Genomic DNA, 24,975 nt, shown 5'->3' with positions numbered 1-24,975 from the left:
ACTGATGAATGGAGATGAAAACAATCCTAGATAAATGAAACTGAGCAGTGTTTGTCCAAAACGAATTCATTATAGTCAAGTAGAGTTTGTGCCAGCAATAAAAATCTATTTGTAAATGATATTAACTAAAGAAAAATTGTCTTATCTCAATAGAGGCAGAAAAATCATCACTAAAATTAAACATTCACTTACAATTATAAATAAAAAGAATGATTTATAGCTAGTAATAGAAGATATCTCTTTTGATAGAAGTCATTAAAGTAGGGCAACATCATGTGTAATGATGAAAATGCACAAGCATTCATATTAAAATCAGAAATAAGGCAAAGATGGCTGCTATCATTACTCCTATTCCACCTTGGACTGAAGGCCTTAACCATGTAATATAGCAAGAAAAAGAAATAATAGGCATGATAATTGAAAAGGAGTTGATACCTTGCCTCATAGAAAACCCAAGATAATCTATGGAAAGACAACTATAATGAATAAGAAAGTTCAGCAAGATTGCAGGATTTTAAAAAGCAACTCGCAAAATAACTGGCATTGCAGTATGCCATAATAAAATTTTTAAACGGAAAGGAAAAATGATAGATACAAAATTTCCAATAACAACAAAAACTGTAACTGACATAGATTTGATCTAGCAAAAGTTATAGGCCGGGCGCGGTAGCTCACGCCTGTAATCCCAGCACTTTGGGAGGCCGAGGCAGGTGGATCACCTGAGGTCGGGAGTTCAAGACCAGCCTGATCAACATGGAGAAACCCCGTTTCTACTAAGAATACAAAATTAGCTGGGTGTGGTGGTGCATACCTGTAATCCCAGCTATCGGGAGGCTGAGGCAGGAGAATCGCTTGAACCTGGGAGGCGGAGGTTGCAGTGAGCCGAGATCGTGCCATTGTACTCCAGCCTGCGGAACAAGAATGAAACTCCGTCTCAAAAAAAAAAATGTTTTAAAAGGCTTTTTTTGTCATTGATTACCAAACATTACTGAAAGGCAAGAATAATTGAGTAATTAGAAAGCTGAACTATACCCATGGATGAAGAGACTCAAAATCATAAGAATATCAATTCTCCCTTATTTAAAATATAAATTAAAAGCAATTACAACATAAATTCTAATAGGGTATTATAGACTTTGGCAAGATGACTCTTGCCAATATGGCCTCAAGTGGCCTTGTTCAAGCTGAAGGCTCACCTCTTGCCTTCTACGTCACTTGCCAGTATGGAATGTGGAAAAATTGAGGACCAACAATAGCTAAGAAATGTTGAAGAATGAGGAAAAGTGTGGGCGAAGGATTACCCAGGTGCCGAGGCAAGAGACTGAAGGCACAAACTGTAGCAATATAATAAAGAAAATAGTTAGAATAAAGAATAGTTGTAATACAAATTAGATATAGAGATGATCATGGACAATTATCAATCATTAGTATAAACCTTATTAATCATTAGCTTTTAATATTACTCTTTGTTGCATTACTAATATAACCTAGGAATAACCGGCAGATATAGGGTCAGGTGCCGAAGGGACATTGTAGGAAGTGACCTAGAAGGTCACTACTAGGGCGGCCCTATCTGAAATGCAATGTCTTCTGAAAACCACACTCAGCACTTCTACCTGTCTTCAAAACAGTCCAACGAGGCAATGCGTGGACACAAATGGGATGGTTCACTTAAGATAAAAGACCAAGTCGCACTTCCCAGAGGAAATTGAATCCAAACCCCCATTAAGCAGTTTTGTTCTCTCAAAGTTTCTCTTCCCTGACAACTATCTCAACCCTTGTCTTCTCTTCTCTAATAAGACCTAATCCAAATATTAAGCTCTTGTCCTCACTTTGCAAAACCCACTCAGGAGAACAAAACCCCACAGTGAGCCTTACAGTGGCAATCTATCATCTTCTCGCTAGCAGTGCCCTTAGGGACCTCATCTCCCAGGACAAGCAGCCTCTCACAACACACCTCCCTAGGAGAGGGAGAAAAGATCTTTTCCCATTCTGTGCATACACAACTGAACTTGTTTCCAAAGGGTTTTATGGAAGTCATATGATTAAATACCCACTGCAACTACACATCTACAGTTGTGAAGATACAAAAATGCACTGAACTCACAGATGCCAAAACAAGAGCACTGAAAAAATAGAGGAATTATCCAATATGCCATAGCTAATGGCAACATTTATACCATAACTTAGTCCTCTGATAGCCCAACTTTCTTCCCACTAAGGAGCTCTGCCTCCCAGCAAGGACCAATGTTTCTGCTTGCATTGGGTCCTTAGTCTTTATTTTCTCATCCATAAACTGAAGCTGCACCTTATCCTTGAAAATTGTACAAGGATCCATACTGTGAACGTGTGCATACTTTGTGTTTCGCAGAGGAAATATATTTGATCAATACAAGGTGTTTCTCTAACAACGATCTATGTTTTGACCTCTGATATATGTCAATGACTGTTGTCATACATTTCAAAGCAAAATGCAGCCCAATATTGTCCTGGTAAACCAGGCATGTAAATTAACTCAGCCATAAAACCTTTAAAAAAATTAAAGGAGGGGGCTTTGGCAACTAGATTAAAATACGGAACCACGTAAGTGTTCAGGCTGTTGGTGCTCCTTACTGCCATCCTGTATGCTACTGTCATGACATTGACAAGCCCGAGTGGGACTGGTGACTCTGCTATGGGCTAGTAGGTATTTTTAACCCTTTCAGATCATTCGTATTAATTTATCTCAAACTGCATCAGCTCAAAGAGAAGAAGAGGAAATTGAAACTACCAGCTGAGATCAAGTGGATAATCAGTCTCACCTCCTCCCTCCCTTCTCCCAGCACTTTGCCTATCAGGATATACTGTGGCAAACTGAAGCAAAGGTATAGCCAGTAAATCATTTCACTTTACAATGTGACTGATTCCACTGTGCCAAGAGAAGCACGACATCTTAAAGCATAGGTGACAGTTGGTGAACCCAGTGGCATTAACTTCATGCCCAGGAATCTGAATTTGCTGGGTTTTTTTTTTTTAAATACAGAAAACACACTTGAAATATATGTGTCTGGCAGGGGGGTAAGATTGGCATTAAGGTAAACAACTAGCAAATTGTTCGTAGCAATGAACTGGTGCAGTGCCTTTTCATTCCAAAACTGTAGAAATTAGAGACTGTTCACCAGATGTTGTTTAAAAAAATAGATTTTTAAAAACTAATTTAACTAGTAAATTGCTAAGAGGTACATTCTGGTAAGTCCTCTTTTAGTTGAAAATGTCTGTGTCTTGTTAAATGTTTATTGAATAGTGTAATTATATTGCTTTTGCTGTTAAATGATATTGACATTCTTGAATAAGAAAGATTTTTATTCAGGCAAGATGAAATGTGAACATCTGGCAGCAGCCTTATGTGGAACGTTGAAACAAACAAACAAAAATCTTGACCAGCATGTTCCTTTTTTTTTCTTTTTCCCTTTCCCAAGTTTTCTGGATGTGACTCACATCAGAATATACTTAAACATGAGGACCCTGTCACTTACCATAGAAATGTTCAAAGTAAATGCTTAGCAAACCGGTGGCTGCCGAAGATGAGGTCAATTCACCCATGAAACAACTGTTTCTCAAACAATGAGCCGGCTGCTTGGTTCACTTCAAATTATTGTGAGAGTAAAAAGAAAAAAAATAATTTTTAAAATACGTGTAATATAATGGCCATTTGTCATAATATTACGAGAAGCTTAATATTTTATATAACGAATTTATTTGGCCTCTAAGACACCACAAACGGGTAAGAAATTAATACCTAGGTGATATTGTTCTGCTTGCTAAGGGGCTTTTTCTCTACACAGAATGTCTTAGTTTTAGGAATATCTTGATTTTATCCACTAGATGACTGACCCTCACAAAGTGACTGTGACTAGGTCACAGGAAGAGGCTCAGCAGAGTGGCTGGCTCTCCACGTTCCAGCACATTTCTTTCTTCTCTTTCCCATTTCCCAATGTGTAATGGAGCACAACAGAAACTTGGCTCTCCTGCACCCTGAGAACTCTTCATTAATTTAACGGCAAGATTTTGATTCACAGGGAAAAAGAAGTTGCCTATAACCCCGAGTGTTTCCCAAGGAATCTTCTATGCAGAACTTTTGTTCTTTTAGGTATTCCTGTCAAAAAATAGATTTAGACATCAGAGCAAGTAAAATATAATCAAATGCAAATGTCTAACACCAGCTGTATCTACACAGCAAAGCAACAGTTGTCAGGCCAGTTCCCTTCATCCAAGCCCAGCTCTGAAGGCTTTCGTTCCTCTGAAATATCCAGAGTGGTTATCAAGAATGTCCCCAGTTGGCCAATTTCTCAGCTTCCTGTTTGCTTTAGTGGCTTCCTCCCATACAACTATGGCGTGACAAGACATGACCAGAGGTCTCGCTCCTGCTTTTCCGCTCATCCACACAAAGGCTCTTCTAGTTTGTCAAGAAGGCCCTGGGCAAGAGGGGAGATCCAAATTCTATAGTCCCTGAACAGATCTGAATCTAAACTATCTCCACTATCTATTAAAATAGCCTGGGAATCTCCACGGTCTTTAAAATAGGCCTGGAAAGATGAAGAGAATTGATAGGGACATTCAAGTTGGGGAATAGCATAGGAACACAAGTGTTGGTGTTCACAGGGTGGTGAAAAACGAGTGGCTGAAGCCAGTCAGAGCACGAGTTGTGTTCAGTCTTGAACATTGTGTAGGTGGAGGGTGGAAGCAAGTAACATAAGAGAACCACGTGTATAATGGCTTACATTAACCTGGCGAGTGAAGACTACTGCAAGAAGCTTGGCATGGCTGAAGCACAAATTTTGGATAAGAAGAGATTTAACCAGCAATAAAGAAATTAAGTAGGCAGGAGTCAGGTAATCAAGTCCCTGGCAGGCTGTGAAATTTGAATTTAATCCAAGAGGCAATGGTACTTTTGACAAGGGTATAATATGATCAGCTTTGTGTTTTAGAACGATCACCCTTATAATTTTAGAAGAATGGATTGGAGGGATAATAACATAAGGATGAAGAAACAACATGGATAGGAGAAATTCTGCAAAGTTAGCATACACAGGCCTCCTTGCTTGATAGAATGGGGATGGTGATGGAGAGCACCTTTGTGGTTTCAGTCACTGTCTCCATGAAGATGCTGGTCTTTTAAACTGGAGGAAGAAGATGGAGCTTGGTTTGAGATATGATACCCCCAGAGTTTCTTATGAAGCTGTATAGCAGAATCCCCAGTGGAATTCATGAAGGATAACTACAGAAAGACAGAGAGAAAAAGAGAGAGAGAGAGAATGTATAATGTATATATACACATATATATGCATATATATAAATTATTTGATTAAAATAACACATGTTCATTTTAGAAAATTGATATGCAGCTGGACTGGATATTATAGATTCAGTAGTTAAATATCTTAAGTAATAATCACCATCTAACTCATATGTGGAGCATACATTTCAAAGTTAGTATATAATAAAATGCATTTAAAAGTAGAACTGAACTGTATTGATGACGTAGTTTGACTATCATGAACTAAGGATGACCTTAAAAAGCCAAGTTACCACAAGAAAGAATAGCTCAATATTAACTATGCCAAAATCTAAATTACATTCAAATGGGAGACACTAAGTAACACAGAGTTAAGCCAGGTTAACTCTTTAACTTCATGGAAATATGTCTGCAGCTAGCTCATCTTGGCAGGCCCATTACAAAAGAGCTGCACAAGAGACAGATCCTCAGGTTCATCTACAGTTAAGGCAACTAACTCTACCCCTAGGATTTTCCATTTTCTCTGCATGGAATTCCAGGATCTCAAATAATAATTGCTCAAACACATGAGCAAATCAAAAACTCTCTTTAGGAAAAAAAAGTTGAGTTTTTTTTTCTTTTTCTCTATAACTTCCATTGGGAAGTGAAGTGGAACCTTCTTGGGACAAGAATAAAAGTCAGGACCTGCCATTTTCTAACTTTGAGGTTCAGTGGTACATGTGCAGGTTTCTTACACAGGTAAATTGCATGTTATGAGGTTTGGTATTCAGATTTAATTAATTCATCACCCAGGTAAGAGGCATAGTACCCAATAGGTAGCTTTTCAATCTTCACCCTCCTCCCACCCTTTACCCTCAAGTAGGCCCTGGTGTCTGTTGTAGGATCTGCCGTTTTCATAAAAGATCATAAACTTTAAGATTCCTATATTAGCATCTGATGTCCATGGAAACTCCTCTCTCTCACGCACATAGAATATATGCACCCCAGGCACCTCAGAAAACTGCTCAATGTTTTCTTTGTTTAATGAGGTGTAACTTACATAAAATGCACACACCTAGACCTGCATCACTGTTTGAACTCTTACATGTGTATACACCTGTGCAATCACCAAGGCAAGACAGAGAACATTTTCAACATCCAAAAATATTCCCCATGTATTTACCCAGTAACCACTGACCTGGACACTACAGATAAACACTGTTCTGACCTCTGTTGCCACAGAGTTGCTTTGCCTGTTCTTGAAATATAAGTGGAATCACACAGTATCTTTTTTATCTGGCTTCTTCTGTTCAATACATTGTTTCTGAGATTCATCCATGTTGTTGCATATGTCAGTAGCTTGTCCCTTCTTATTGTGTGGTATTCCATCATATAAATATACCGCAGTTCATGAATTCGTCTTCCTTTGATGGACGTCTGAGCTGCTTCCAGTTTCTGGCTCTATGAAAAAGCTGCTGTAAACATTCTGGTGCATATCTTTTGGTAGACATAAGCACTTCTTTTGCTCGGATATTACCTACAATGGGTATGTGTATGTGTAGCTTTGGATGTACCGTAAAACAATCTTCTAAAGTGGCTGCACAAATTTATGCTTCCACCAGCAGAAAATTTCATCGTGACTTACACACCATCTCTTTCTATGCTACTGTGGACAGAAGTAACATTATATTGGAATAATATATGAGCCATGCCAACTTCTCCTTCTGCTAGGTCATTAAGTGCAGACCTTGTTTCAAGCTAAAGCACCAGAAACGCTTGCCTTTATTATACTATTTTTGATGCTCCAAAGAATATCTCATTGTATTTTCTTAAAAATCCATATGTGAAATAGACAGAAGAAGTGTGAGAATTTCTCATTGTTACGACAGACAGCTGAAGGATCCTTCAGCTTACTCAAAACTAAAGACAGTTGGATTTGGTCATTTAAACACATTTTAATTTTTTTATTTATACATAATATACATATTTATGGGGTACATGTAATAGTTTGATATATGCATATAATGTGCCGTGATCAGATCTTGGTATTTAGGATACCCATCACCTCAAACATTTATCATTTATTTGAGTTGGCAGCATTTAAAATCTTCTCTTCTTGACATTTTAAACATATAGCCAACCTCAAAAGTAAGAATTTTAAAAATCCTTTGTGCCTTAAATTAAAAAGGACATTAAAATTAGAGTACAATATTGGAATTGACATCAAATAATCTATGCAAATATTATAATAAATGCCCAAAGTAGAGAAGCCTACACACTCACTGAGAATCAAGAGTCAAATGTTCACATCGATGCCTCCAATTGATCTTGTCCCAAGGTAAACTACTTATCTTGTGGATTTCCAAACTTAGTGAATTTCATTCACCCAATTACCCAAGCCAGATTCAGGGATTGGCAAACTTTTTCTGTAAAGACTCATACAGTAAACAGTTGAGGCTCTGCAGGCCAGATGGTCTCTGTCACTCAACTCTGTCTCTTGCAGTGCAAAAGCAACCACAGACAATGCATAAATGAACAGCCATGGCTGTATTCCTATAAAACTTTATTCATAAAAACAGGCAGCAGATCAGATTTGCACCAAGGGTTATGGTTTGCTTACCCCTGCTAATTAGGGAATCTAGGCTCCTCCAACTTATTTAATCCTTATTAAAAATTGCACTATAACCAGTTCCCTCTTCTAATGCGTTAACTACTCAAATTTATGATATTTCTGAGTCTTTCCTGTTATTGTGTATACTTCATTCACTTTCAGCCATTGCATAATATTTTGATGTGTCAACATTTTTTAAAAACCTGTTTATCCGTTTTATCGTCAATAAATATTTGGGCTGTTTCTACTTTGGGACTTCAATTTCCTCATCTATAGAATATAATACTATCTACTTTATATGTTTTTATGGATTAAATAAGACAATATATGTCAACTGCTTGAAAATGTGTCTGACACATGATACATCCAATAAAAAGTTTGCTATGATTGTTGTATTATAGTTATGTATGGATGCCCTGCTCCTACTATACTGCTATTTAACTGAGTTTGAAGGTCATGTTCCTTCACTTTCTTATTCGCAGGACCTACTATAGTCACTCAGTGAATGATTATTAAATGTTGAAAATGAATGAAAAATTTAGGAGAAAATTAAATATTATCCTTATTTAACACACACATGCTAAGGAATTCCAACCAAAATCTCAACAGGGCTTCTGTGGAATTTGATAAAATAATTCTTAAATTTATATAACATAATGAAAGACCAAAAACAGATAAAATACTTCTAATGAGGAAACTGAAGAAAGTGGAGGGGTATACCCCATCAGACATCAAGAATAAATATAAAGCTACTGAAATTAAGAAAACGTAGTATTTATATAGAGATATAAACGTTGAAAAAAAATAACAGAAAAGAGAGCCTGAAAGAGGTTTCTGCATTTGATGAACTATGATAGTTGTTGGAGATGGCATTAAAAATCAGCCAGTGGGAAAATTGGGGGCTAATTAATAAATGGTGCTGGGGCAATTAATTATCAGTATGAAAAAAATAACATTGGATCCCTACATCACACCATAAACAAAAATCAAAGGCATAAATATATGAAACAATTCTCTAAAATTTTTAGAACTATAAATATAAAACTTAATATATGCTAAAATTAAACATTTCTATTAATCAAACGGCACTCCTTAAAAGGGAAATTATGTTGGTAAACTAGGAGAAATTATTTGCAATCCATACAGGCATACCTTTTTTTATTGTGTTTCACTATATTGTGCTTTGCAGATACTGCTTTTATTTTTAAAAATTGAAGGTCTGTGGCAATGCTGCATCCAGAAAGTCTACCAGCGCCATTTTTCCAGCAGCATGGGCTCACCTTGTGTTCTTCTGTCACATTTTGGTAATTCACACAGTGGTTCAAACTTTTAAATTATTATTATTTCTGTTATGGTAATCTGTGATCAGTGACAGTTGTTGTTACTATTGCAATGGTGCCACAGACTGAGCCCATATAAGAAGGTGAACTTAATTGATAAATGTTGTGTGTATTCTAACAGCTCCATCAGCTGGCTTTCCCCATCTCCTGCCCTCTCCTCAGGCCTCCCTATTCTCTGAGACATAATAATATTGAAAGTAGGCCAATTCATAACCCTACAAATGGCCTCTAAGTGCTCAAGTGAAAGGAAGAGTCATCTCTCATTTTAAATCAAAAGCTAGAAATAATTAAGCTTATTGAGGAAGGCATGTCAAATGATGAGAGAGCCTAAAGCTAGGCCTCTTATGGCAAAAAATTAGCCAAGTTCTGAATGCAAAGAAAAAGTTCTTGAAGAAATTAAAAATGCTACTCCAGTGAACATTTAAATGATAACAAAGTAAGACAACCCTATTGCTGATATGGAGAAAGTGTGAGTAGTCTAGGTAGACCAGACCACAACAAACCAGCTACAACATTCTCTTAGGCCAAAGCCTAATCCAGAACACAGCTTTAACTCTCTTCAATCTTTTGAAGACTGAGAGGAGCTGCAGAAAAAAAGCTGCAGCTAGACTGAAGCTAGCAGAGGTTGGTTCATGAGATTTATGGAAAGAAGTCGTTTCTAGAAAGTACAATTACAAATGAGGCAGCAAGCGCTTTGCAGAAGCTGCAGCAGGTTATCCGGAAGATCTAGCTAAGATCACTGATGAATGTGGCTATGTGAAACAACACACTCGGAAGATCTAGCTAAGATCACTGATGAGATCACTGATGAATGTGGCTATGCGAAACAACACATTTTCAGTGTAGGTGAACCAGGCTTCTTTTGGAAGAAGATGTCATCCAGGACTTTCACAGTTAGAGAGAAGAAGTCAACATCTGCTTCAAAGCTTCAAAAGACAGGCTGACTCTCCTGTTAGAGGCCAATGTATCCAGTGACTTTCAGTTGAAGCCAGTGATTATTTACTATTCTGAAAATCCTAGAATGCTTAAAAATTATATTAAAACTACTCTGTCTGTGCTTTATAAATGGAAAAACAAAGCCAGGTGACAGCATATCTGTTTACAGCATGGTTTACAGAATATTTTAATCCCGCTTTTGAGAGTAACTGCTCAGAAAAAAATATTTCTTTCAAAATATTAACACTCATTAATAAGGCACCTAATCACCCAAGAGTTCTGATGGAGATATACAAGAATATGAATGTTGTTTCTACACCTGCTAAAACAACATCCATTCTGCAGTCCATGTATCAAGTAGTAATCTCAACTTTCAAGTCCTACAATCTCAGAAACACATTTTATAAAGGCTATAGCTGCCACAGACAGTAATTCTTCTAATGGATTCGGTCAGGCAAAGTGAATTGAAATCCTGGAAAGGATTCACTGTTCTGAATGCCATTAAAAACAGCTGTGATTCATGGGAGGAGGTCAGAATATCAACATTAACAGGAATTTGGAAGAAGCTGATTCCAGCCACTATGGATGACTTTGAAGGGTTCAAGACTTCAGTAGAAAAAGGAACTGCAGATGTGATGGAAATAGCAAGAGAACTAGAATTATAAGTGGAGCCTGAAAACGTCACTGAATTGCTGCAATCTCATGATCAAACTTGAATGGATGAAGAGTTGCTTCTTATGGAGGAACAAAGAACATGGTTCCTTGAGGTGAAATGTACTTCTGGAGAAGATGTTCTGAACATTGTTGAAAAGACAACAAAGGATTTAGAATATTAAATGAACTTAGTTGATAAGGCAACAGCAGGGTTGCTGAGGATTGACTCCAATTTTGAAAGTTCTATGGTGGCTAAAGTGCTGTCAAACAGCATCACATGCTACAGAGAAATCTTTTATGAAAGTAAGAGTTGGCCGGGCGCGGTGGCTCATGCCTGTAATCCCAGCACTTTGGGAGGCCGAGGTGAGTGGATCATCTCAGGTCAGGAGTTCGAGACCAGCCTGGCCAACATGGTGAAACCCCATCTCTGCTAAAAAAAAAAAAAAAAAAAAAAAAAAAAAAAGACTACAAAAAATTAGCTGAGTGTGGTGGCATGCGCCTGTAATCCCAACTACTCAGGAGGCTGAGGCAGGAGAATTGCTCGGACCCAGGAGGCGGAGTTTGCAGTGAGCCAAGACTGTGCCACTGCCCTCTTGCCTAGGGGACAGAGTGAGACTCCGTCTCAAATAAATACATAAATAAATGAAGGAAGAGTCAATTGATACAGCAAACTTTATTGTTGTCCTATTTTTAGAAATTACCACAGGCCAAGCCTTCAGCAACCACCACCCTGATTGGTCAGCAGCCATCAACATTGAGGTGAAACCCTTCACCAGCAAAAAAATTATGACTTGCTGAAGGCTCAAATGATTGTTAGCATTTTTAGCAATAATTGCAGTATGTGTGTGTATATATATAATATATATATTTATGTATAAATATATAATATATAAAATACCACATATATTTTTATATCTATACACATTTTTATATATACAGCATTGAAACATATGCTATTTCACACCTAATAGACTACAGTATAGTGTAAACATAACTTTTCTATGCACTGAGAAACCCCAAAATTCTCAGTCGTATTTTGAGATTTGCTTTATTGTGGTGGTCTGGAACCAAACCTGCAATATGAAGGTATGCTTGTAAAACTGAACAAATGATTCATATCTAGAATATATGAAGAAATTCTAAAAATGAAGATGAGGACAAATGACCCACTAGAATTATGAGTAAAAGATTAAAACAGGTGCTCCACAGAGGAAGAAATACATATGGCAGTGCCCTCAGCCTCAGTAATCATGGGAGTGTAAATTAGGACCACAGTAAGAGGCAAAACCTGGCAAGAGTTAAGAAATCTGGGCTGGGTGAGGTGGCTCACGCCTGTAATCTCGCACTTTGGGAGGCCGAGGCAGGTGTATCACCTGAGGTTAGGAGTTTGAGACTAGCCTGGCCAACACGGTGAAACCCCGTCTCTACTAAAAATACAAAAATTAGCCAGGTGTGGTGGCGGGCACCTGTAATCTCAGCTACTGGGAAGGCCAAGGCAGGAGAATCATTTGAACTCAAGAGGCGGAGGTTGCAGTGAGCTAAGATTGCACCATTGCACTCCAGCCTGGGGGACAAGAGCGAAACTCCATCTCAAAAAAAGAAAGAGAGAAAGAAAGAAAGAAAAGAAAGAAAGAAGAAAGAAAGAAAGAAAGAAAGAAAGAAAGAAAGAAAGAAAGAAAGAAAGAAAGAAGAAAGAAAGAAAGAGAAAAAGAAAGAAAGGGAAAAAAGAAGGAAGGAAGGAAAGGAAAGAAAGAGAAAGAAGGAAGGGAAAAAGGAAGGAGAAAAAGAAAAGAAAGAACGAAGGAGAAAGAAAGAAAGACAGATCTGACAATATAAAATGTTGCAGAGAAGGGGACCAACGGGAACTCTTACAGACTGCCAGTGGAAGTGAAAGCCACTTTGGAAACCAATTTAGCATCATCTTATAAAATTTAACATTTACCCAATGACTACCTATATGCCATAGATAAAGTCTCACACATGTGTACCATGAGGCATGTAAAGAATGTTTATAGCAATACTGTTCAGAAGAGCAAAAAACTAAAAACAGCCCAAATATCCAATGGTAGGAAAATTGGTACATTGATTTTCTTTCTATTTAGACAATGGACTACTGTACAACAGTTTAAAATAAATTAATTCTACATGACATGGAAGACTCATAGAAATATAATATTGAGTGTAAAAAGAAAGTCTCAGACCACTTAAAATTATAATTATCAAGCCCAAAAAAGTTGAACAATATATTGTTTAGAAATGTAGACAAACAAGATTATATTTTTAAGGTAAGAAGATGATAAAAATTTAAAAATTGAGATAGTATTCACTTCTGGCACCTAAGAGGCATGCGTGGGGAAATGTCAGTTACTGGAAACACTGTTGGTTTCTGTGTGGCTTTATATTCTGCCACTATGCATCAGTTTCCATATGTGTTACATATATTCTTTAATATCAAATATTATATAAAATTATAATTTAAAAATTAGAGAATGAATGAACCAATCTCGTTGGTGGGATGCCAGGCAAGATACTATTATTTGTATCATACAGAGCTTAATCTCCTGCTCAGGTTTGGGAGGGAAAAGCAACACATTCACCAGCATAATGGGGAATAGATAATTCTCTCTGGGAATATCTTGGAGTGACCAGATTTTCCCCAGGGAAAACCAGGCTTCATTTCGGTATGGAAGTAAGAAAAATTGTTTTAAAAAATATTCAGAATATAGAGGAGTTCACTCAAAATTAAACAAGAAATTCACAAAAGTAATCAAACTTCTATTTAGATAAGGAATTATAACCACATGCGAAAGCCCAAATTATAGATGCAAAAAAACCATGCGTTTCCCTTGCTTCCGTATAGTTGTGATAATATGCTCTTCTCTTTAACCTGGTCTCCACTTGCTGATAAGGAAGTAAATATTTTATTAGATCATTTCTTTGCTAATTACAATTTTAAATCATTACAAACTTTAGTTGACAGTCCTCCAGCTTATCAAATGAACTGTAATCAAATGCAGTAATTAATATACTTCTGCCAGAACTTCAAACCCAATGAAAGAATTGTGTAAATCAACTCACTTTTCTAAGCTTAAGTGTAGAAAGAATGTTCCCTATCAGCTAAGTTTCATGAGCTGGAGATACATTTATAAGTACAAAGGTACTAAAGTTTTAATATGAGGTGAAAATTGACATAGAATTTTTCCCACTAGAAACTTCCTAGGCTCTTTCTAATGTGTTATATCAGGAAAAACAAATAATTGTCTTGCTTCGATGCTGTCATGAAATTGGCACTAGAAAGAAACATGTGACTTTTAAAGCGATTTGGTCTCAGCAGCACCTAAATTCTCTTTGCTCTCATTCCCCTTACCACATTGTAGCATCTTTAAAAGATCTCTTGTTTTTCCCCGTTATAGAACAAGAACATTCCGCTAATGGTGATGCCCTGAAGCTCACTGTTTCCCTCATCATGAATTATTGAAGTCATGTGGCCTGAAAAAGTGCACACTGGGTAAGAAGCAGCCAAAGCTATGACAAGGTTTTCTTTTCAGAACTGGTTATTATGCTTAAAGCATGTGATTGAAAATCTAAGATAAGATAGGGTAAACTGAACGTTTACAGAAACCACTCCTGGTGCACCACCATTAAAAGAGAAGACGTAGGAAGATCTAGTACAATGCGTGACTGAGCTGGCAGAAGGGAAGGGAGCTCCGAACAGAAAGTCCTTATCCCAGGAAGTAAGCAGGTGTTCACCAGGGCCGGGCTGTGCCTCGGGGCCTATGCCCAATGCTGGTGGCCGAGCTCCTGGATTGTAAGGGGCCACCCCCCAGAAGAGAAGAGGCAAAACTGGGACCTGAACAGGCTGGATTAGATCAGAGCATAGACATATCTACTGGGGAGCAGTGGCTCCTTCGAGTTAGGCGGAAACACAGGGGCGGAGAAACAAGCCGGAGCCTCCCACGCTCCCCGTGCCGTGTTACTGTTCAGTTGCGTGGTGGGTACACGGGGCGTACTCTTTCCATGACATTTTTTAGTGTAATATGAAATAACTTTGCAGACGTCAAACCCATGTCAAAATATCAAGGGCAATTTCAATTCTGAAAACAATTTTTGTTGCCCATAAAAAGCACAGCTGGGCCGGGCGCGGTGGCTCACGCCTGTAATCCCAGCGCTTTGGGAGGCGGAGGCGGGCGGATCACGAGGTCAGGAGATCGAGACCATCCTGACCAACACGGTGAAACCCCGTCTCTATTAAAAATACCAAAAATTAGCCGGGCGTGGTGGCGGGCGCCTGTAGTCCCAGCTGCTCGGGAGGCTGAGGCAGGAGAATGGTGTGAACCCGGGAGGCGGAGCTTGCAGTGAGCAGAGATCGAGCCACCGCACTCCAGCCTGGGCGACGGAGCGAGACTCCACCCAAAAAAAAAAAAAAAAACAAAAAACAACCACAGCTAATATGTTTTGTTTTGTTTTTGAGACGGAGTCTCGCTCTGTCACCCAGGCTGGAGTGCAGTGGCTCGATCTCCGCTCACTGCAACTGCCGCTCCCGGGTTCACGCCCCTCTCCTGCCTCAGCCTCCCGAGTAGCTGGGACTACAGGCGCCCGCCACCACGCCCGGATAATTTTTTGTATTTTTAATAGAGACGGGGTTTCACCGTGTTGGTCAGGCTGGTTTTGACCTGCTGACCTCAGGTGATCCACCCACCTCAGCCTCCCAAAGTGCTGGGATTACAGGCATGAGCCATCACGCCCGGCCAGCTAATACGTTAAAATATCTGTACATCTTATTTCATTGCAGGGGACATGCTTTAATGTCAGTTTCATAATCATCCTCCTCCTGTGCCTCATCATTACTTGAAAAAAATCAGAGAAAATGCTGAGCCATGGCTCGTTCGATTAACTAAAGCTCCAGTGTCACGACACTCAGTGCTTTGCTGTCAGTTTCTAACAGATGACCCTCTCATCATCAGGACTAGTTGGGAATAATTTGCAAGCTTTCAAAAATCAAATTCATATGTCCAATGCAAACAGTGATCAAAAGTTTTATTTTAATTTTCCAATCTTTGGAAAAAAATTCCAATCCCAGCACTTTGGGAGGTCGAGGCAGGTGGATCATGAGGTCAGGAGTTCGAGACCAGCCTAGCCAACATGGTGAAACCCCGTCTCTACTAAAAATATAAAAAATTAGCCAGGCGTGGTGGCGGGTGCCTGTAGTTCCAGCTACTTGAGAGACTGAGGCAGGAGAATTGCTTGAGCCCAGGAGGCAGAGGTTTCAGTGAGCCAAGATCTCACCATTGCATTCCAGCCTGGGTGACAAGAGCAAAACTCTGTCAAAAAAAAAAAAAAAAAATCCAAAGAAATGCAAAATATTTTAAGCAATAGCCTCTTAGCAGACTATGTGTTCAGCCTCCCAAAGGACAACTCTGAAAAGGCCAATATTCACTGGAATATCAGAAACCTTGTGGTATGTTTCTAAAGAATTGGTTTCAAGTTGTTATACCCAAGTGGTGCTTTATTAATGAAAAATTGTCTCTGACAATCCACAAACTAGTTAGAGAAAATGCCAGCTATTAAAATATTAAAGTTAATTCTTTTTGAGTATTTGGAGAAACAAAAAAAACGTGCCATTTGCAATTTTAATTAGATTATTTTAAAATACAATCTGTAGCCTTGAGACCTAGCATCCCAGGGTGTAATCTAAACTCAGAGTCGACCCCACTCCCCAGTAGCTGTATTCTTAAAGGAAGACCTCCAATCCAGTTTCTTCGGCCTCTTGGTTCTTCCCAAACAACATCAGGCATAGTCCACCTCGGGACATTTGTACCTGTTGTTCCTTTTGCCTGAATCACCCTTCAGCCTGGTACCCACAGGGCTTAATGGCTCATCTACTCGGCTGTTTGGCTCTTTTGCAAACTGTCTTCTTTTTTCTGTGAGCCATCCCTACTATGCTGTTCACCACTGGACCCCTTCCTCCAGGATTCTCAATACCCCATTCCTTCTTTATTTCTCCGTACTAGCGGTCACATCTATATACTGTACTTTTGCATATGTTTTTATTTTCTCTCTCTCTCTCACTGGAAGGTAAGCCATGTGGGTGCAGGGATTTCGTGATTTTGGTCACACTGTGTGTTCATGTCCAGCCCCTCGGAAGTGCACCTGGTGTGTGTCAATCTGCACTAAATGTACTTGAATGAATGAGTGAAAGGAGGCTGCCTATGCCCACCTATCTCAAACAATTATAATGGGGACGCTTACAGGTAAGAATCTTTGAAAGTGAGCCCAGCCTTCCAGTCACCTTGGTTATGAGGGTCTACCAGCACGGTGACGGCCGCATCCCCAGCCACCCCCTGGCTTCCTGGCTGCGCTGCCCAATCAGAATTAGAGAGCAGGGCACACTTGCGCAAAGAGTTTCTCCTTTTGCCCACTCTCTGAATCAAACAAGCATTATAGAAACATCCCTCATTCCTATCGATCTTGCCAAAACCACCCAAAGGATGTTTCAGCACCAACTCTCCGAAGAAGAAGGCTTTCTTCACACAGCTGTCTTTCTCAGGTTGCTTTCCATGTCTGTTTTTCTCTCCCCATGTACAATGCTTAAGCCTTCAAGTTCTGTGCATTTCGTCCGATGAGAGATTTAATTACTCGTATTTTGAGTGGTACATGTTCACTACAGGAACGATGAAAGGCGCCTGGAATCCTCACTGAGAGCTGTGAGCAGGCAGTGGTGATGATGGAAGTGAGCGGGACTGGGGGCTGCGTGCGGCGGCACCCGTCACCCAGGCAGGAGACCCCAAGCCCACACAGCCATCCATCAGCTCAGAATCCCCCAGAGTATCAGATGATTTCATTTTCAGCATGATCCTCTCTTAAAATGCTCAGTGATAAAATCTTAGCGCAAACATTCAGCATTGAAAAGCCAATTGTTGTTACTATGTTTTTCCTCCTCTGTGTGCTACTTCTGAAGAAATAAGGTGGAATTGTTCAAACTGAAAATTGTTTCCTTGTACTCTGACATCCATCCATAACTCAGTTTCATTGGCTGGCACAACGGTAAAATGAATATAAATAGAATAACCAACATTTTCTCCTTTAACACACTGGTTTCTTGGCCATGTTCCAACCAGCTATTAATCCAACACAATTTACCACATTATGGAAGCTGAGAGTGCACAGGCATTGGATGACAATCACACACAGTGGAATGGAAACAAGATGATATTACTAACCAGCCACTGCTCGGCTTCCAAATCAGACAGAAACGGTAAAAAAAAAAAAAATAGCTTCCCTATTTATCTGCAGATCCAGTGTGTGATGGTTACTGTCATTTGTGCTGAGGGATTCAAAAGAAAATATAACATTTTTTTCAGTTTATTCAATAGTGCTAATTACTCAAACTCCAGATGCAAAACTAACCTCCTACAGAATCTCCTTGATCTACACAGACACGTCTATATCCTGGATGGATGGGGCTCATTTTACGTATGACTCTTGCGCGTGACTTCGAGTGCACGGAAAATGCCATAGCCTCACTTTTAACTAAGTGCATGCAGAAGGGAACATGCTGTACACAATGCTGCCCGCACTTGAGGTCCTCTCATTCCCCTCGTAGTTCTCGTCATCTACATCACATCATCTGTACTTTCACTTTTTAATAGTTCCCTTTACATTCCATCAATAATTTTCTTTACAAACCTACTTTTGTCTTCATTCCAAGTAATAAAAGTCATCAGTTTTAATCATTGCTTCATTTAGCAAGTATTTATTTGAGCATCTACTTTGTGACACACATTCTGGGGAGCTGGAAATATAGCTGTGAATAGGCCAGACAAAGGCCCTATCTCACAGTGGTTACATTTTAATGGAGAAGAGAGTCAAAAAACAAATAAATATATGACATTCCCACACATGTGAAGTTCCTCCACATTCTATCGCAAGGATCGCACGCAGTGTTCAGGGACCCTTCGTTTGTGAGATGCTAGTTCAGTGCTTTGAACCCAGGCTCTGGAACCAGATGCTTGGGTTTTACTCCCAGTTAACTAGCTTATTGCCTGACACAGCTTTTGCAAACTACTTCACCTTTCAAAGCTTCAATTTCTTTGTCTAGATAAGCAGGATGCTGATAGTTCACTCACAGGGCTATTGTAAGTATTTAGTGGGACAATGTATATGTAATACTTAGCAGAGTACTTCATAAATAATAACTAGTAACCATTGAATAACTGTGAGCAATATAATTAATGGTGACACCCAGTTCTTCTCACAATAACCACAAACAGCACTATGTTAATCTTATACATATATGTGTTAATTTTTAGTTACTGCTGTCCTCACCCCTAAGAAGAACCAATGTTTTTCTTTTTTATACTGGGCATTTAATAAACGGAATTCACATATTGAAATATTAACTGCTTTCCCATCTCAATTGGTGGTGGTATTGGTTCCCAAATAATTTTAGTGCTTCAGGTTGAAAGTTCCAGGAAGGTTTTTTTTTTTTTTTTCTCTCACAGGTGAAATAACAGCTGGAACTTACCAGAATTCTCCTCCTCAAAGAGTCTGCATGCAGTGGCATAAAACTAACACAGGTGCCCCAGCATGCTGACAAAGAATAAATAGAAGCACATGTTCTGAAAGGTCCATAAGACTTTGCTTCTTAGAATACTACTTATAAAACGTGGTCAGCTTTGTACTGCAAATTGGCTGACACCTCACACAGAGGCACCGCTGTTGATGTCCGCGTGACCGTGCCACCTGGATTCCCTTATCTCGTTTATTATTATTAACCGTTTCAAAAACACTTTGGAGATTTAAAGAAAGGGATAGATTGTGATCTCTGCTCAGAGTGTGGTCCTGCCAGGAGGCCAAATGACTTTTTAAAGGTCCCTTTAGTGACATGGTATGTCTTAACTGATATTTTCCTTTTAAAAACAACTGTCCTTTAGGGGGGCGCCCAGAGAGGATATGAGGGATTACATTTGAATAGAAACTTTGGAACTCGCTTTCCTATGCCCCTTTTTTTTCAGGGAAGAAATCCTCTTGGAATGTGGAAAAGAAATGAGTTTGAGCATACTAAATCCAAGTAACACAATGCTGATCTCTCTCAGCCACAAGTCAATACAATAGCAAAAGCCCCAATAATGTCAGACTCGCCGTCAGGAGATGGGCACAGTGACACGCTGTGCCTGCATGAGATGGATGGGTGGTCTGGAAGACGTGATCCTCCTGTAAAAACCAGCGTGTATACACACACATGCTTATAAAACTTCTCGGAGGAGGCCTTCCAAGGAATCTCTGTGCTGCCACCTCTGATTCCTCCAACTGCAATGGAAGAGCTAAGTTCCCAAACTTTCACGAAGAAATAGCAAGTACTGGGCTTCCCTGTGCTTTCCTGACTTGAGACTCACTTGACCAACCAAATCAATCACCATCCGAGGGCAGCCTCCCCAGCCGAATGCTGCACTTCCTTCTAGTCATTGACATGGGGATGGCCCCACTTCATAGATTCTCCAACATGAAATTCCGTCAATTGAAATGCCATCAAAAGACAGAATTTCAGAGTCGAGCTGAGCCCAGTGAGTGGGTTACCAAGGTCAATGACAAAATCGTTCACTGCAGCCCAAATTTACCCGAGAGTTCTTGCAAAGTTCTCACTTAGGTTGACAATGTGTAGATCTGCAGAGTTAAGCCAAAGTTAACCTAGGCTTGTGGTAGTAAAAAATACTAGAGAAAGTCCAAGGACACAGTCTTTCCAACCTGGTCTCCTGAGTCTAAATGACACGCTCGTGTCAGAAATGCTTTGGGGAATTGGTAAAAGGCTAGATTTCTCTACCCGGACTCTTTCTTCTTCTAGACTCTTATACTAACTGAATCAATCCACATATTAAAAATGTAATAAGTGCCCTATTTATGGAAAATTTTACAGCTAAAATTGTAGAAATAGCATGGTCAGACTATTTTATGAAAGAGCCAAAACACATAGTAAATTAAGATTGATTTGCATGAAATGTTGCAGACATCCAGATGATATTAAAAAAGGAAGCAAACTTTGTTTGAACTCTGTAGCTGTTAGATTAGATTATCCCCCTTTGTCTGTACTCTACTGCTGTTCCCAATTTAACACCTGTAAATTGGCATGGAAATTGTATATAAAATGTACATTTCATATTGCAAAGGTAGGAAGTTCAAATTGTGTGAGAGTCAGAATTGTATTAGAAATTCTTCAGCTCATGCCCTTCCCCAGCCTTGAAAATGTGGGCAATCCATTTTCTACTAATATCGTTTCTTTTTTGTATCTCATAGTGTTTGGCAATAGTCAACAAAGGTGGTCTGGAGAGCCCAGTGGCATTGGTGGGACCATAAGCCATGGTGAAGAGATGGAACAGATTGAGTTTGGACTTAACAGTCTTCTAATTCCCTATTTAAAATCAAGTTCTCGCTCTTAGGAATTCTCCATGTTTCTGTTGAACAAAGGGACAAATTGGATCAGCCCCCTGGGAGCTCCAGTGATTCTGGACTCTTGAGATAAATGGTCGGCCAGGTCAGGGAAGGTGGGGCTGGCTTCTCTAAAGTAAGTAGGTGGAGTCTCCCGGGCTGTGCTTTAAATGCCGCATTATATTAGCTTTCTTCTTTCCACAGATGGACTTGTTGATTCACTGCTAAAAGAGTCAAAAAGCTAAGGTGCCAATCAGAGAAATTATTTCCCAAGGGCACTTATATACAGATCCTTCCAAAATATTTCAGGAACTGGGGCTTTCCAGCAGGAGTGGTGAGACTTTGAAATCATTCTTGCCAATGTGCCTTTGCTCTTTTCTACTTTCTTGCCTGATCTCTCTCTCTCTCTCTCTCTCTCTCGTTTGTTAAGATGCAGGAGTACGGAATCAGATGCCCACAAAGTGCAGAGACATGTTTCTGAGTGTTACCGGGAGCCAGCCAGGCAGAGCTGCAGTGTGGGAGCCCGGCCTCAGAACGGGACACCCCACCATCGATCAGGAGACTGGCTTCTGCCCATCTGCTCTTTAAGCCTGTGTCTCAGATGGTGTGAAATAGGGATCACCCTGAGAGAAAGCTGTCACTGCAAGATTCCGGGATACACTGCCTTCATTTTTATAAATGCATGCAATTAGCTATGACTTTTAAATTGGCACCATGGTGAACAAGCATGTCTCAAGCATACATGCCAAGTATTACAAGCCGTTTTTCAATGGCTTCAACTTCCTCAGCTCCAAAACCTTGGATCTCACTCCAACTCAGCATCTACTATTATGTTCTGTGTCTCCATTATATTAGATTTGCAGGAGGTTAACGAGAAGCACAGCACATAATTCACATGAATAGGCTTTGAAACCTAAGTGTGATGAAAAGTATTATTATTACTGTTATGCAAAGTCCTTGCAGCAAAAATTACATTATCCTTTTTCCAAATATATTGTGAACCTATTGCTGCGCTAGAATTCAGATCTAGGCTTTCTTAAAACTCCATTTGTGATGCTTGCACTTACTTCATAAACTTCCTTGGGTATGAAAACACTTAAGTTTTCTTTTCTCCCCAATGCCCCAGGCAGTTGACAGGTGGATAATGACATCAACAGGCAGGTGGCCATCAAAGACTCAGGGTAGGTGTGTTTTTGTGAGACCCCAGGTGGTTGATTTCTGTATGATACCTCTCCATAAATGTGAATTTCCTATTCTTTATTTCTTAATCTTAATAAATCACTATTTAAATAACAAAACTTAACATTCAATCGTTATTTTAAAGATGACTTTTTAAAATAACTCAAAGAGACAAAGGCAAAAATTCCAACTAATTTGCGTCTTTTCCCCATTTTTCTGCCATATGTACAACTTCCAGTTCAAGGCTCACTTTCCTCTGGCATTTGTTGCATCTGTTTGAGCTTCCCAATAGCATCTCTCACGATCAGCTCAACTCCGATTCGGCGGCTATAGAATGGTCAAGGGCTGTACATGGCTTTAGCTATTCACCTGGAAGGTCTTTGGTGACTGGGTGTTGATTTGCACCTCCACAGACGTGTGGTAGGAGAGACGCAAGGAAGAAACTGACAAGGGGATCCCGCTGGAGCAGTCCTCCGCTGTCCAGTTAAGAAGTGGTCATTTCCACTCCGTTCTTATGAGTTCCCACCACCTGTTAGTTCCTTAACGTTGCTAGGTAGCCCTAGGGGGCAGCCGGATTTGTGTATTAAGCTCATTTATTTGTGCCTTTACTGTCGGCAACAACCTGAACCCACAAACTACTTCACAAAGAAAAGTCTGAGCAAAATGTAGACAACTCTTAGGACAGGTCTTTGCCATCATTTGATCACACCGTCTATCAACCGATGCTAATCTTCAAGTGTCACCTGGTCTTCCAGGGCAGGTTCCGGTAACGCAGTACAGCTTTGGCATAACTTCAGAACAAGAAATCCCAGTGGATCGTAGCTATCTACTTATAAATTATAATTTTCCCCTATGTAGAAGAAAATATTCAAGACCTATATAATTCACATACTTAGAAAAGAAAACAACTTATTTTTTTCCCTCTCTCAAATTGCCTGGAGGTAAAAAAAAAATGCTAAACGGATAATATCTTTCAACACTGAATTGATTTCTCAGCTTAATTTAAGCAAAGAAATTATGTGCCAGATGGCATAATCAACATGTTCTGTTGAAAGATTGCAATTTTATTCTTATAAGAAAAAATAAGCATTTTTCCACGTGGTCTACTCAGCAGGGAAGAAAGTTTATATATGCTGGCTCTAACAATGCCATCTTTGACGAGGAAAAAGACAATAGCTTTGAATGTATTAACTGATCTGTTTTGAAAGCAGAAATGGTACTTTGTTTTATTCTGCCAAAAGTATTACATAAGACCTATGGTAAGTAACTGGAAAAAGAACTATTAAAATGAATAGTCATGAATATAGTAAAATTTATCTTTGCACAGTTGGGCATTTTAAAGATTTTCTGAAGTGTATTTTATTTCTAATCATGAAATAACTGTATTCATTCAATATCCTGAACCACGGTGCTATAAAATCTGAATATGCCCTTGGCTCCCTCCTCCCAGGGAGGTCATTAAAAGATTTGCCTATCTTGGGGGAGATGGGAACTGCCTGTTTTCACAACTCATTCCATTTTTATGTGACATCTCTATTCCCTACACTTCCATAAAGCACTTTGCTAAGAAACTCGGCCATGAGCTAAAGAGAAAAGCATGATGTTTATAAGAAGGAAGAGTCCAAACAGCATTTGAGCACTCAGAGCTGCAAGGAGGGATGAGGAAAGGGGATGAGGGAAGGGGAGAGAAGGAAGGAGGAGGGCAGAAGAGAGGAGAGGGAACCACCAGATCACAGAGGAAGAAAAGCACAGGTAAAATAATTAGTGACCTTGCTTCTGAAAAATGAGCCCAGGCACGGTGGCTCATGCCTGTAATCCCAGCACTTCGGGAGGCTGAAGCGGGAGGATTGCTTGAGCCCGGGAGTTTTGAGACCAGCCTGGGCAACATAATGAGACCTCATCTCTACAAAATATTTTTTTTTAAGTAGCCAGACACACACTGGTGGTCTCAGCTACTTGGAAGGCCGAAGTGGAGAGACTGCTTGAGCCCAGGAGGTTGAGGCTGCAGTGAGCCTAGAGGGAACCACTGCACTCCGGCCTGAGCAACAGAGCCAGACCCTGTCTCAAAACAAAAAAAGAAGGAGAAGGCCGCCTTGCCTATGACAGGTAAATTATAGATAGAAAATATGGGGATCTCTCTGACGACTTTAGAACAATTTTTGTTTTTTAAAGACAAGGTTTCGCTCTGTCACCCAGGCTGGAGTGCAGTGGCATGATCATAGATCACGGGACTCACTGCAGTCTCAACCTCCAGGTTTAAGTGATCCTCCCACCTCAGCCTCACAAGTAGCTGGTACTACAGACACGTGCCACCATCCCTGGCTAATTTTCTTTTTTAACTTTTATTTTAGGTTCAGGAATACATGTACAGGTTTGTTATATAGGTAAACCCATGTCACGAGGGTTTGTTGTACAGATTATTTCATCATGCCAGTACTAAGCCTAATACCCAACAGTTATTTTTTCTGCTCCTCTCCCTCCTCTCACCCTCTACCCTCAAGTAGGCCCCAGTGTGTGTTGTTCTCCTCTTTGTGTCCATTGGTTCTCTTTATTCAGCTCTTACTTATCGGTGAGAACAT

At 39.7% G+C, this 24,975-nt stretch overlaps 1 long non-coding RNA gene across 2 annotated transcripts in view; it reads left to right on the top strand.

Annotated features, from left to right (window-relative positions):
* The window catches only part of LOC105374873 (uncharacterized), a 30,545-nt gene extending 6,814 nt beyond the window's left edge, over positions 1-23,731 (top strand). Inside the window, exons 2-4 of one of the 2 annotated variants that reach the window (XR_926363.3) lie at positions 14,209-14,303; positions 21,422-21,551; positions 21,648-21,740. This is a non-coding gene — a long non-coding RNA (uncharacterized LOC105374873). Of the gene's footprint in view, positions 1-14,208; positions 14,304-21,421; positions 21,552-21,647 lie in introns of both variants that reach the window. The other variant, XR_001743915.2, reaches the window with a different exon arrangement.
* Positions 23,732-24,975: the final 1,244 nt, after the last annotated feature.

The sequence above is a fragment of the Homo sapiens genome, chromosome 6 (assembly GCF_000001405.40).
Source record: "Homo sapiens chromosome 6, GRCh38.p14 Primary Assembly".
In the NCBI taxonomy this organism is placed as follows: domain Eukaryota; kingdom Metazoa; phylum Chordata; class Mammalia; order Primates; family Hominidae; genus Homo; species Homo sapiens.
The sequence above is the reverse complement of the archived record's forward strand: the minus strand, read 5'-3'. Positions and strand labels throughout refer to the sequence as shown.